At 37.8% G+C, this 15,401-nt stretch overlaps 1 protein-coding gene and 1 long non-coding RNA gene across 14 annotated transcripts in view; one reads left to right on the forward strand and one right to left on the reverse strand.

Moving 5' to 3' along the window:
• Positions 1–15,401, forward strand: part of LOC101929727 (uncharacterized) — a 248,010-nt gene that overhangs the window by 163,713 nt on the left and 68,896 nt on the right. The window lies entirely within an intron of this gene.
• Positions 1–15,401, reverse strand: part of RNLS (renalase, FAD dependent amine oxidase) — a 411,796-nt gene that overhangs the window by 124,302 nt on the left and 272,093 nt on the right. Inside the window, exon 7 of one of the 13 annotated variants that reach the window (XM_047425435.1) lies at positions 13,563–13,652. The exons of the other annotated variants lie outside the window; for them this stretch is intronic. Within the exon in view, the coding sequence (XP_047281391.1) occupies positions 13,608–13,652 (45 nt within the window). The 3' untranslated portion in view covers positions 13,563–13,607. The remainder of the gene's footprint in view (positions 1–13,562; positions 13,653–15,401) is intronic. 13 annotated transcript variants of the gene reach the window in all.

Raw genomic sequence — 15,401 nt, forward strand, 5'->3', positions numbered from 1 at the left:
GAGGTCTACATTGACTCTATTTAGATCTATTCTATCTTTTAAAACCCTGAAAACACTGGAGCAAACTCTTTTGACGAGGACTTGTTCAGAAGAAGCACACAATAAAGAATGAAATACGGTTTTCTCTAGAACTATTGAAGTAATAATGGACAGAACAATAGTCATATTACATTATCCTTTAGAGTTTTTAATTTAATAGAAAATTGTTCTGCCCTTCAGCAAGTTGTAGTATATTCATTCATTAATTCTTCAAATATTTGTTTTGTTCCCAGTAGTTGCTGAGCACTATGAAAAGTGTGAGGGTAAAAAACCAGCTCCTTTCTGTAAACTGATTTAACAGATTTGGAATTATTTTGTTTTCATCTAAATATAAACGTTCTGTCACAATTTCTCAAAGGATCCAATTGCTTGGGAGTCTAGGATGCAAAGGACTGAAAGTGCTTTCCATGGTGAGTCCAGAGATAAGCTGAAAATCACTTTTCCTCCTGAACTGGGCCTCACTACTACCTCTTCCTGCTCTGTAGGTTGACAGCTGGTTAATTTCCTGCAGACTCGATTTTTCTGCATTTCATCTCCCATTCCCTATTTATTCTTCTTGATGACCCAGAAGCATGGCATTGACATTTCTTTCTGGTTCTCATTCATGTTAAATGGACTCAATGACTTTATATCTGGGCCATAGGATTATGGCAAAAAAGAATGCAGGCATTTTGATCTTCAGGTCTAGAAACGAACTTCCTTCTACTTTTAATAGTGTGAAAATTAAATTGAAAGTATTAAAAAATTTAATGTTGTGTTCCTCAGAAAGACAATAATGGAGAATAAAAAACAGGTGGTTTTAAAAGTCAGCTTAATTGAACCTATATACAGTAAAATTTATTTTTTGTGTGTATTGTTCTATATTTTGACAACATATACAGTTGTGTAACAGCCACTAGAAATAACAGAGAACATTTCCACCACCCCCTAAATTTCCCTTATGCCCCACTGCAGTTAATCCCTTCCTCTCAATCACAGCCCCTGCTAACACTAATCTGTTTTTTGTCTCTACAGTTTTACCTTTTCCAGAAAGTCATAAACACAGACTGAGTCTGACTTCTTTCACTGAGATAATGCTTCTGAGATTCATTTACATTATTATAAATATTTCTAGTTTGTTCCTTTTTATTACTGAGTAGTTTTTCATTTATGGATGTGTAATATTTACCCACTTAGCAGGTGATGAATATTTGGGTTATTTCCACTATTCAGCAATTATTAATAAAGCTGCTAATATTATTTGGTTATAGGTTTTTGTGAGGATGCATGTCTTCATTGTTCTTGGGTAAATCTCTAAGAGTGGGGTTGCTGGGTCACGTGGTAAGTGCATGTTTAACTTTGTAAGAAACTGCCAAAGTATTTCTCAAAGTGGCTGTGCCATTTTGCATTCCTACCAGTGATATGTGAGAGTTACAGTTGTTTCACATCCTTGCCAGCATTTGTCATCTTCAGAGTTTCTGATCTGAGCCGTGACTGGTTTCTTTCACATAGCATGTTTTCTTGTAGGCATGTCGTAGTATTTCATCATGGTTGTAATTTGAACTCCCTTAATGACCATTGATGGTCATTGTCTTTCTGTGTGCTCAGTTGCCATTCACATCTCCTCTTTTTTGTGTGTTTGGTGAAATACACATAAAATTTGCAATTAGTGACCGGTAAACACTAATCTGCTTTCTGTCTCTATGGATTTGCCTATACTGCATGTTTCATATGAATGGAATCATTCAAGAGATGTTATCTTTATGACTGGCTTCTTTCATATAACATGTTTTCAAGGTTCATTCATGTTATAGCATGTATCAGTACTTCATCCCTTTTTATGGCTGAATGATATTCCCCTGTATGGATATAATATATATTGTTTATCCATTCATTAGTTGATAGACATTTGGGATGTTTCCACTTGTGGCTAAAGTGTGTTGTTGTGAACATTTGTGTATGCAGTTTTGTTTGAACACATGCTTTCATTTCTTTTGATTATACATCTAGGAGTGGAATTGCTGGGTCATATTGTAATTCTATGCTTAACTTGAGGAACCACCAAGCTGTTTTCCACAGTGGCTGCACCATTTTACATTCCCACTAGCAAAGTACAAGTGTTCCATTTCTTCACATCCTCTCTAACACTTATTATTCTGTATCTTGTAGCCATCCTAATGGTAGTGAAATAGTATCTTATTGTGATTTTGATTTGCATTTCCCAAAGGAATAATGATTTTTACCTTTTCATGTGCTTATTGGCCATTTGTATTTCTTCTTTGGGAAAATGTCTATTCAACTCCTTTGCTCATTTTTTAATTGGGTTGGTTTTTTTATTTTTATTTTTTATTTTTTGCTGTTGTAAGAGTTCTTTATACATTCTAGATAGTAGATTCTTATCAGATATGTGACTCATAAATATTTTCTCCCATCCTTTGGGTTATCTTTTCACTGTTTTGATAATACTTTGATGAACAAAAGTATTGAATTTTGATGCAGTCCAGTCCAAATTATCTTTTCTTTTGTTGGTTATATTTTTGGTGTTGTATCTAAGAAACCATTGCCAAATCCGAGGTTATGAAGATTTACCAGTATGTTTTCTTCTAGAAGTTTTATTATTTTACCTTGCATATTTAGGTTTTTGATCCATTTTGGGTGAATTTTCGTGTGCAGTGTGATGTAAGGGTCCAGCTCACTCTTTTGTATGTGGATATCAAGTTGTTCCTGCACTATATAAGGAAAAGATTATTCTTTCTCCATTGAATGTTCTTAAGAATATTGTCATAAATCAATTGACTATAGGTATAGGTTTATTTCTGAACTTTCAATTACATTCCATTGATCTATGCCTGTCCTTATGTCAGTACCACACTGTCTTGATTACTGTAGTTTTGCAGTAAGATTTGAAAAGAGAACGTGTGAGTCCTCTAACTTTGTTCTTTTTTTCAAGATTGTTTTGGCTATCAGGGGGTCCTTGTGGTTCCGTATAAATTTTGGCTCTTTCATTTCTGCAAAGGCCATTGCAATTTTGATAGAGCCTGAAACGAGTCTGTAGATCACTCTGGTTAATACTGCCATCTTAAAAATATTACCTCTTTCAATATATGATGTGTTTTTATTTATTTAGGTCTTTTTAAATGTCTTTCAGCAATGTTTTGTAGTTTTCAGTGTAGAATTCTTATAACTCCATAGTAAATTCACATCTCTTCTTTAGTGAAGTACTCTTTTAAGTCTTTTGCCCATTTTTTAGATAATTGTGCTGTTTGTTTTTTAAATTATTGATTTGTGAGAGTTCTTTGCATATTCTGAATACTAGCCTTTTACTGATAAATGCTTTTACAGATATGTCCTTTGCAACATTTTCTCCAAGTCTGTGGCTGTCTTTTCATTTTCCTAATAGTGTCTTTCAAAGACACTGTTTTTGATTTTAATTAAGCTCAATTTATCAGTTTCTTTCTGTATGGTTTGCGCTTTTCTGTGTTCTATCTAAGAAATGTTGCCAGGCATGGGTGGTTCACGCCTGTAATCCCAGCACTTTGGGAGGCTGAGACAGGCGGATCACTTGAGGTCAGGAGTTTAAGACCAGCCTGGCCAAGATGGTGAAACCCCATCTCTACTAAAAATACAAAAAAATTAGCCAGGCACCGTGGCGTGCGCCTGTAATCCCAGCTACTCAGGAGCCTGAGGCAGGAGAATTGCTTGACCCCGTGAGGTGGAGGTTGCAGTGAGCCAAGATTGTGCCACTGTACTCCAGCCTGCGCAATAGAGCAAGACTCCATTTCAAAAAAAGAGAAATGTTTACTAAATCCAAGGTCTTAAAGATTTTCTCTTATGTTTTCATCTAGCAGTTTTAGAATTTAAGGTGTTATGTTCAGGTCTATGATCCATTTTTAGTTAATTTTTGTATATTCTGTGAAACATCAACTTTTGAATATAAAGTTGTGTCTTCCAAATTCTATTTTGTTGTTCACTAGTTCTTTAAGAAAAATGTTCAATAGGAACATTGATTTCCTCATTTAAAGTAAAGATAATATTTACTTCCTGATCTGTCAGAACAGTTGTGAGGATCAAATGAAAACAAGTATACAAGTGTTTTCTAAAATCAGAGTATAAATGTTAACTATGATTATTTCTAGCTGACAGCAGCAAAAAAAGAATGATATAAGAAGGTGTCATAATTGGGAGAAAGCCAGAACTCAAAAAATTACTGCAGTGAAGTGAGGTGTTTAAAAGCACTAGCTTTTAAATAGGACTGCATTTGAATGCCAGCTTTGCCACTTCCTAGCAGCTGAAACACACATAAGATATCTGAGCCCTCTAATCCTCAGTTTTCTCATCTATGTGATGAGGAAGGGATACAAACTCCACAAGGTGGTTGGAGTATAAAGTGAGTTAACATAAAGAGCCCAGTGAGCTACAGTGAGTAAGGAATTAATAAGTTGCATTCTTGAAAGAGAGAGAGAAAGAGAGACTGTCTAATAAAATGCTGATGTGAATTATCATGGTATACAAAAGTGCTACAATACACGATGGCAAAGACCAAGTTCAATTTCAGCCAAACTGAGCTACTGGTCATTCCTCAAGTATTCTTTGCCTCTTTTGCTTCTGAAAAAGTACATGTGTTCTTGGAACACTGCTCCAACATCACTAACTTTACCTGTCTCCCTCATTTTGAAGGATTTAGCTCAAGTGACATCTTCTTTTAGGAGCTACTTCTTACCACTTCCTCCCAAAGTCTGCTCTGTGCTCACATAGTATATTGTACATAGTTTTTGTATGGCAAACTGTACTATATCAGGATTATGTGCTTATTGGTTACCCTTGCTGATTGATTATATGGAAAACTCTTTAAAGGAAGGGAGCTGTCTTTGAGTCTTTAGAACCCAGTTCAATGTTTGACACATAGTGGAAGCTCAACAAATATGTGTTTAATGAAAAGATGAGTATATAGTATTAATTTATAATCTGGATATGACTACTAAACTTTTTTTGTTTGTTAGTTTTATAGCATAATACTGATGTTTACTTAAATAGACCAAGTAGATTTACTCTTTATGGGAAAGTGCTGAAATAGGGCCTATTTCTTGCAGAGCATCTATGCCTATGTAATAACATCCACCGTCCAATTTTAAGTATTAATGCTGGGGGCAAGTGAATATATTTAGTATTTGCCCAGTGCCAATGACACAGACTCCTTTTTAAAGTTTTTTATAAAGTATTTGCTGGTCAAAATAATTAGTTATTCTGAATAAGTGTGATACTGACTACATGGCAGAGTAAGTCCCAAGAGTATATGAGAAAAAAATGACTTCATTAAATTCTTATGTGTTAAAACATTTAATAGTTTATGTAATATGGAATTTTGCGAAAAGGGGAAATACCTGCCTATATAAACTTCAATTAAACTGTGAGTGTACATCCTAATTCAATGATCAGAATTTCTCAGGTGATGATCTCACACATATGTACTACCTCATAATAAACTGAAACAAGTGGTTAGTTATGTGCTGATGACAAGGAGGTGGGCAATTACTCAACGCAATGCTTATGATTGACACCTGTTAGGTTTCCTGATGTTGATAAATTGGGTCATACTACAGTCCACCTGTCCCAAAGGGCCCATTTTGGTTATCCGAAGGTCACTATAACTTATGATACATAGGCAAGATACTCTTGTGGCCATAATTTCTTGTTGGGAAATGTTGACTCATGGCCCAACTGTGTTAAATTATCAAACACTGGAAAATGTGCAAGTTAGTTTAGGAATGATTGGTAAGAAGCTGGAAAATCTTTAAGCTTAAAAACCAACAACAACAAACCAACTGGCAAGAGTTCCTTGTGTCCACAGGGATCTATCACTTTCATCGCACCTTGTTCTGATGTTATTCAACAGTCCCTTATGGTAATGACTAAGTGTCATAGTCCCTGGCATTGAATTGGTCCTATCCAGACTATTTACTTATGTAAAACAGAGAGAAGAGAAAAGAGATAAACTTTGAAAAGATAAAAGAGTGAGAAACAAAAGAGAAAAAGTGGGACATGTGGGCATGAAGAGAGGTAATCAAGAAAAGAGAGCAACGAACACAGAGCTAAGCTACCAACAAAGAAATGACCATCAAAGCACTGTCACCTCATCTCCTCCTCCTCTTATTACTACTACTGGTAATATTAATTGATAACTTGCTTTGTACTAATGTCTGTAGTAAATGTTTTCTACTGTGTTCTCTCATTTCACCTTAACCACAAGTCTAAGAGGCATGTTCAGTTGTTACCATTTACAGATGAGGACCTTGAGACATAGAGTTATGGTCCAGCCTGCCCAAAGGTTTGAAATGACTCTGCATTATGCCAAAGTCCAAGATCATAATTATATCACATTATTAAAAATCCAGGAATTATAAAGCACAAATATGGGAGAAAAGTCATAGGAATAGTGACAGAATAACCAAAAGAGCTTGATTTTATTATGGAAAAGAACTACGAAACAAAACACCTAATGTACTCTAACTGATAAACACAATTGATTGTTGTCTTTCAAAGTACTTATCTTAGAAGGCTATGTATTTATATCCATGACGATGAACTGGCCAATGTCTTTGAAGGTTGCCAGATTCAAAATTGCTATTAAAATCAGCTTACTGGCTACATTAAAACAGATAAACAAATATAAGCCAGTTGTATTTCTTTAGTTACCTCTAAATTTTTTTTAATTGTTAAGACTGACCATCCATTTGATTTAAATGAGTTAAGTACAAATGACTGTGGTTTTAAAAACAATAAATTGAACCTCAAGTTTCAAAGACCTGATCCAACTGATGATATGTTGAAGAATATGTGTCAGACTATGAAAGAGATGCCCAATTTTATTGAAATAAGGGTGTAGTTTGTCGAGGTGGCTGACTACTTTGAAGAGGACAACAATCTTTTGGATTTACAAGTTTGGTATATACATGATATCAGCCACTACCTTCCAGTTCCAACTCATCTAAAAGGAGAAAATGAGGGTAATAGAAAAATGCAGGGAGAGGGGGGAGGCAAGATGGCTGACTAGATGCAGCCAGGTGGAATGGCTCCCACTGAGGGACCAAGACAACTGACATGCTCCTAATAGATCTTCAGAAGGAAGGCACCCAAAGTGGACTGAGGGAAGACACAGAAGCTGTACTAAAGAAGGAGAAAGCTGGGAACACTGCATGGGGCTACTGCACACCTGGACTCATTCCTGGCCACAGTGGCTCCAGGGGAATGGGTAAGTTAAACTGGCAAGGAGCAACCTGCTCTCACCATAGGCCTGTGGAACTCTGGCAGGAGAAGATTCCTTAATCACCATGGAAATCAAGTTGGCAGGGAGAGCTGCTTAGAGAAGAGGTAGGGGCAGCAAGCCAGCTGATGTGGAGCCCAGATGGTTTGGTGCAGGAGGATCAGTAGTGAAGTACAGCCAGGGATGGCCATGCCCCTAGGCTTGACTTGCTCCTAGGAGACTTTAGCTCTAGAGGAACTGTTGGACCTGATCTCCGAAAGACAATCTTGCCCATTAGATGGGGCTATGCTGACCTGAGCACCAGCTCAGGCCATGCCTGCTTGCAGGGCAGTCCCAGGTATCCTGCGGCCCTACACTATAGCTTCTGTACTGGTGGACTGTGCCTGACGAGTGCAGAGCTGCAGTAGGGCAGCCTCTACAACCATGCACCAGCCTGCCCACTCCTTCCCTGTACTACAGCTTCCCTCAGGCCCATGGCAACTGTCCACATTGCTTTGCTTTGCTTTGCTTTGCCGGTGCATGTCTGTATGGGGTGGGTTTTGCAGTCCGCCCACCCTCCCCCTACCAATCACCATTGCAGACAGCCTTGATGGGCACAAAACCAGCCAGCCTTACCTCCATCAGTGCCCCACCCTTGTATTAATACTGCACAGAGAACAGCAGATCTTCCCCTTCCCCTTCACTCCCACTTCCAGTGCAAAGAGAAGGCACCCAGACCTGTGCCAGCCAGCACCCTGCCCCCAGGCCAAGACCACTTCCAGTGCGACTGTGTACACAGTCACCAGCTGCATTACCTCCACCAATGTGGTGAACACTCACAGGGAGGCAAGCACCCTGGCATCTGCTAATACTCTGCTGCAGCAGCCATACCTTGGTCCCACCATCACAGTGGGCTGCTAACCTTGAGGAGCCAGAGAACAAAGTTGGGGCCCACTACAAGTCTTGCAGAGTTACAGCATGCAGACCAGGAGTTGGGAGCTAAGTGTTGGCCCCCTACAGTCTTTCAGAAATGAAGCCAGTTGGTTTAATCAACCTTATGCCACAATCAAACTCTCAAGGTCATCAAATAGGATAAAAGGGGCAAAAAATCCAAAGGTCAGCAACCTCAAAGATTGAAGATAGATAAGCTCACAAAGATGAGAAGGAATCAGTGCAAGAACCCTGAAAACTCAAAAAGCCAGAGTGCCTTCTTTCCTCCAAATGACCACATTACCTCTCTAGCAAGAGTTCTGAACTGGCTGAGATGGCCAAAATGACGGAAATAGAATTCAGAATATGGATAGGAATGAAGAACACTGAGCTTCATGTTGAAACCCAATCCAAGGAAGCCAAAAATAATGATAAAACAAGGCAAGAGCTGACAGACAAAATAATTGGTATAGAAAATAACATAACTGACCTGAAAGAGCTGAAAAACACATTACAAGAATTTCATAATGCAATCACTAGTATTAGCAGCAGAATAGACCAAGTGGAGGAAAGAATCTCGGCGCTTAAAGACTGGCTTTCTGAAATAAGATGGTCAGGCAAGAATAGAGAAAAAAGAATGAAAAGGAGTGAACTAAACCTCCAAGAAATATGGGATTATGTAAAGAGACCAAATCTATAAATCATTGGTGTCCCTGAAAGAGATGAAAAGAATAGAACCAACTTGGAAAACATATTTCAGGACATTGTCCATGAGAGCCTCCCCATCCTAGCTAGAGAAACCAACATTCAAAATCAGGAAATACAGAGAACCCTAGTAAGATACTTCACAAGAAGATCATCCCCAAGATACATAATTGTGAGATTCTCCAAGGTCAAAATGAAAAAAATAATGTTAAAGGCAGCAAGAGAGGAAGGTCAGGTCATCTACAAAGGGAAATCTATCAGACTAACAGCGGACCTCTCAGCAGAAACTCTACAAGCCAGAAAAGATTGGTGGCCAGTATTCAATATTCTTAAAGGAAGGAAATTCCAACCCAGAATTTCATATCTGGCAAAACCAAGCTTCATAAGCTTAAAGAAGAAGAAGAAGAAATAAGAATCTTTACAGACAAGCAAATACTGAGGGAACTCGTTACCACCAGACCTGTCTTACAAGAGCTCCTGTAGGAAGCACTAAATATGGAAAGGAAAGACGGTTACCAGCCATTACAAAAACACACTGAAGACCAGTGACACCATAAAGCAACCACATAAACAAGTCTGCAAAATAACAAGCTAACATCATGATAACAGGATCAAGTATACACATATCAGTACAAAACTTGAATATAAATGGGCTAAATATCCCAACTAAAAGACAAAGAGTGGCAAGCTGGATAAAAAACCAAAACCCATTATGCTGTCTTCAAGAGACCCATCTCACATGCAATGATGCATATAGGCTCAAAATAAAGGGATCTACCAAGGAAATGGAAAAGAGAAGAAAGCAGGGGTTGCAATCCTAGTTTCAGACAAAACAGATTTTAAACCAACAAAGATAAAAAAAGAAGGGCATTACATAATGGTAAGGGGTTCAATTCAACAAGAAGATCTAACTATCCTAAATATATATGCACCCAATACAGGAGCACCTAGATGCATAAATCAAGTTCTTAGATACTTTCAAATAGACTTAGACTCTGACACAATAATAGTGGGGATCTTTAACACCCCACTGATAACATTAGGCAGATGATACAGACAGAAAATTAACAAAGATATTCAGAACTTAAACTCAGCACTGGATCAAATGGAGCTGATAGATATCTACAGAACTGTCCACCAAAAACAACAGACTATACATTCTTCTCATTGTCATCTGGCACACATTCTAAAATTGATCACATTATAGGAAGTAAAAAACTCCTCAGCAAATGCAAAAGAACTGAAATCATAACAAACAATCTCTCAGACCACAGCACAATCAAATTAGAAATCAAGACTAAGACATTCACTCAAAACCATATAGTTACATGAAAACTGAATAACCTGCTCCTGAATAACATCTGGGTAAATAATGAAATAAAGACAGAAATCAGGAATTTATTTGAAATTAATGAGAACAACGATACAACATATCCAAATCTCTGGAACACAGCAAAGGCAGTGTTAAGAGGGAAATTTATAGTACTAAATGTCCACCTGAAAAAGTTGGAAAGATCTCAAGCTAACAATTAACACCAAAACTAAAATAATTACAGAACCAAGAGCAAATACATACCAAAGCTAGCAGAGACAAGAAATACCCAAAATCAGTGCTGAACTGAAAGAGATTGAGACACAAAAAAACCATTCAAAATATCGATGAATTCAGGAGCTGTTTTCTGGAAAAAAATTAATAAAATACACAGACTGCTAGCTAGACTAATAAAGAAGAAAAGAGAGAAGATCCAAATAAACACAATACGAAAAAACAAGCAGGATATTACCACTGACCCTACAGAAATACAAACAACCATCAGAGAATATTATGAACACCTCTATGATTATTAACTAGAAAATATACAATAAATGAATATATTCCTGGATACATACACCCTCCCAAGACTAAACCAGGAAGAAACGGATTTCCTGAACAGACCAATAATAAGCTCTGAAGTTGAGTCAGTAACAAGTAGCCTACGAACCAAAAAAATCTCAGGACCAAACAGATTCACCATTGAATTCTATCAGATGTACAAAGAGCTGGTACCATTCCTGCTGAAACTATTCCAAAAATTTGAGGAGAAGGGACCCCTCCCTAACTCATTCTATGAGGTCAACATCATCCTGATACCAAAACGTAGCACAGACATGACAAAAAAAGAAAACTTCAGGCCAATATCCTTGAACATTGATGCAAAAATCTTCAATAAAATACTGGTAAACAAATCCAGCAGCACATCAAAATCTTATCCACCATGATCAAGTAGGCTTTATCCCTGGGATACAAGGTTAGTTCAACATATGCAAATCAATAAATATGATTCATCATGTGAACAGAACTAAATACAAAAACCACATGATTACCTCAATAGATGCAGAAAAGGTTTTTGATAAAATTCAATACCCTTTCATGTGAAAAACTCTCGATAAACTAGGTATTGAAGGAACATACCTCAAAATAATAAGAGCCATCCATGACAATCCACAGCCAACATCATACTGGATGGGCAAAAGCTAGGAGTATTCCCTTTGAAAACCAGCAAAAGACAAGAATGCTCTCTCTCACCACTCCTATTCAACATAATATTGGAAGTCCTGGCCCACCTGGGCAATCAGGCAAGAGAAAGAAATAAGGGACATCCAAATAGGAAGAGGAAGTTGAACTACCCTGTTTGTAGATGGCATGATCCTATATCTAGAAAACCTCACTGTCAGCCCAAATGCTTCTTAAGCTAATAAACAACTTCAGCAAAGTCTCAGGATACAAAATCAACGTGCAAAAATCACTAAATCACTAACATTCCTATGTACCAACAATAGTCAAGCCAAGGGCCAAATCAGGAATGCAATCCCATTCACAATTGCCACAAAAAGAATGAAACACCTAGGAACACAGCTAACCAGGGAGGTGGAAGATCTCTTCAAGGAGAACTACAAAACACTGCTCCAAGAAGACAGAGATGACACAAACAAATGGAAAAGCATTTCATGCTCATGGATAGGAAGAATCAATATTGTTAAAATGGCGATGCTGCCCACAGCAATTTATAGATTCAATGCTATTGCTATTAAACCACCATTAACATTCTTCAAAAAACTAGAAAAAACTATTTTAAAATTTATATGGAACCAAAAAAGAGCCTGAATAGCCACGGCAATCCTAAGCAAAAGGAACAAAGCTGGAGGCACTGAAACAGCATGATATTGGTACAAAAACAGACACATAGCCCAATGGAACAGAATAGAGAACTCAGAAATAAGGCCACACACCTACAACTATCTGATCTTTGACAAAAACAAGCAATGGGGAAAGGATTCCCTATTCAATAAATGATGCTGGGATAACTGGCTAGCCATATGCAGAAGATTGAAACTGGACCCCTTCCTTACACCATATGCAAAAATTAACTCAAAATGAATTAAGGACTTAAGTGAAAAACCCAACGCTATAAACACCCTGGAAGACAACCTAGGCAATCCATTCTGGACATAGGAAGAGGCAAAGATTTCATGGCAAAGATGCCAAAAGCAATTGCGCCAAAAGCAATTGCAACAAAAGCAAAAATTGACAAATGAGATCTATTTGAAGAGCTGTGTAGCAAAGGAAACTAACAACAGAGTGAACAGACAGCCTATAGAATAAGAGAAAATTTTTGCAAACTATGCATCTGACAAAGGTCTAATATCCAGCAACTATAAGGAACTTAACAAATTTACAAAAAATAAAAAAAAAACCCCATTAACAAGTGGGCAAAGGACAAGCACAGACACTTCAAAAGCAGACATACATATGGCCAAAATTCAGATGAAAAAAAAGCTGAACATCGCTGATCATTAGAGAAATGCAAATCAAAACCACAGTGAAATCTCACACCAGTCAGAATGGCTACTATTAAAAAATAACAGATGCTGGTGAGGTTGAGGAGAAAAAGGAGTGCTTACACATTGTTGGTGGGATTGTAAATTAGTTCAACCATTGTGGAAGACAGTGTGGCGATTCCTTAAAGACCTAAAATCACAAATGTCATTCAACCCAGTAATCTTATTACTAGATGCATACCCAAAGGAATATAAGTTGTTCTATTATAAGATACATGTACACATATGTTCATTGCAGTGCTATTCACAATAGCAAATACATAGAATGAACCTAAATTCCCATCAATGATAGACTGGATAAAGAAAATGTGATACATCTACACCATGGAACACTATGCAGTTATAAAAAAGAATGGGATCATGTCCTTTGCAGGAAAACATGGACGAAGCTGGGGGCCATTCTCCTTAGCAAACTAATGCGGGAACAGAAAACCACATATCACATGTTCTCACTTAAAAGTGGGAGCTAAATGATGAGAACACATGGACACATAGAGGGGAACAATACACCCAAGGGCCTATCAGAGGGTGGAGGGTATAGGGTGGGAGAAGGGAGAGGATCAGGAGAAATAATGGGTACTAGGCTTAATACCCGGGTGATAAAATAATCTGTACAACAAACCCCTATGATACAAATTTACCCATACAACAAACCTGCACGCGTACCCCTGAACTTAAAAGTTAAAAAATAAGGAAAAGAAAAAGAAAATGCATGGGAAAAAGCAAGAAAAAATTAAAATATCAATCACCACCTGACTTTTCAATGCTGAAATTAGACACTATTACTCACCAGAAATTAATCTCATGAGGGGATAATGTAAACGTACGGGTGGTCTCAAGCTCTTCTGTGTGCACATCCACTTCCCCCACCAAACAAAATCTGTAAGAAAAATTCTGCCCTTCAGCCATTGCACATTTCCCCTTTTCTCTCTTACTCCTTTTAACTCCTAGCAGTACTATGGGTAACTGAGGTAATCAGCTGGAAAAGGCCTGAAGGAGCCAAATGGAAACTTTGTATTGAAAAGGGCAAAGACTTCCTTGTTTAAGAGGTGGGAGGGGAATAAAAGGATAGAGTCAAAAGTAAAGAATGTGAATGGAAGGTTGAAGAAAGGAAAGAAAAAATGACAAGCCGACATGGCTAATTGTCAGAGAAAGTTTCTGTGGGTTATTAAGAGAGCAAAGAGAGGATTCGAGGGAGTTTTCGTTAAGAGGGCCATGCAAGGAATGAGAAGAGAGCTTTCCAAAAGAGTTGTTGTGAATGATACATTTTGGAAATTCTTTAAAGTTCTATAAGAGATACCAGTAAAGATTGGAGTTATTTTAAATACTGTTTGCGGCCAGGTGTGGTGCTCATACTTATAATCCTAGCATTTTGGGAGGCCAAGGCAGGCAGATCGCTTGAGTCCTGGAGTTCAAGACCAGCCTCAGCAACATGATGAAACCTCACCTCTACAAAAAAATACAAAAAATTAGCCGCAGATGGGGTGGAGTGTGCCTGTAGCCCCAGCTACTTGGGGGCTGAGGAGGATTGCTTGAGCCGGGGAAGTCGAGGCTGCAGTGAACTGAGGTCATAACCACTGCACTCCAGCCTGGGTGATAAAGCGAGACCCTGTCTCAAAAAATGTATGCGTAAATAAATACTTTTTGATTGCTGGATTATATCTTTTTGACTGCAACAATATGCCAAGACTGGGCCACGAGAGACTCTTGATTTATTCAGGTAATAGCGGTATAACATTTACAGCAGGTGTTCCTAACACTGGATTCATGGAAGGAATTTAGGTTGCCAATAAATCCTGATAATTGTGTGTACTTTTTGTGTTTATGTGTACATGTATTTTTTTTAATAAAGAGAATGTTTATGTTTATAGCTTTCATTAGATCCTTTAAAAATTCATGATCCTTCTCTTTAAACAACTGAAAGAGGCTTATGACTGTAATCCTAGCATTTTGGGAGGCCAAAGCAGGAGGATCACTTCAGGCCAGGAGTTTGAGACCAGCCTGGGCAACATAGCAAGACCCCGTGACTACAAACATTTTAAAAAATTAACCGGGAACAGTAGTGTGCACCTGTAATCCCAGCTACTCAGGAGGCTGAGGTGAGAGGATCACTTGAGCTCAGAAGTTTGAGGCAGGCTGCTGTAGTCAGCTCTGATCATGCACTGCACTCCAGCCTGGGTGACAGATTTAGAGCCTACCTCTGCCAAAAAAAAAAAAAAAAAAAAAAAAAAGAAAGAAAAGGAAGAGAAAAGGTACAAGCTCAGGGCAAAATATTGAGTTATTAAGTGAAGATATATAACTACAGAAGATAACTGATTTCTAATTGTACTGTACAAGCTTACTATGCTAGTCCACATCCATTTATTTTTCCAAAGATATTGAATATCAATGTATTCATTCATTTCCTGCCCCTAAGTTCCTCTCCTGATTTCCTTGGTATCTGAATGTACATTTGGAGATTAAAAAATAAAGTAATCATGAGAGTGCTACATAAGGTAAGGAAAAGGGCCACTCACATTTTCTGGAATTGAAGAAAGAGGGGGAAAATTAGAGCTAAACCTGAATGCAAATCAGAAATTTACTATAGTTTGAGAAGGGCATCATGATAGACACTGAAACAAAGGAAAGC

Source organism: Homo sapiens, chromosome 10 (assembly GCF_000001405.40).
Source record: "Homo sapiens chromosome 10, GRCh38.p14 Primary Assembly".
In the NCBI taxonomy this organism is placed as follows: Eukaryota; Metazoa; Chordata; class Mammalia; order Primates; family Hominidae; genus Homo; species Homo sapiens.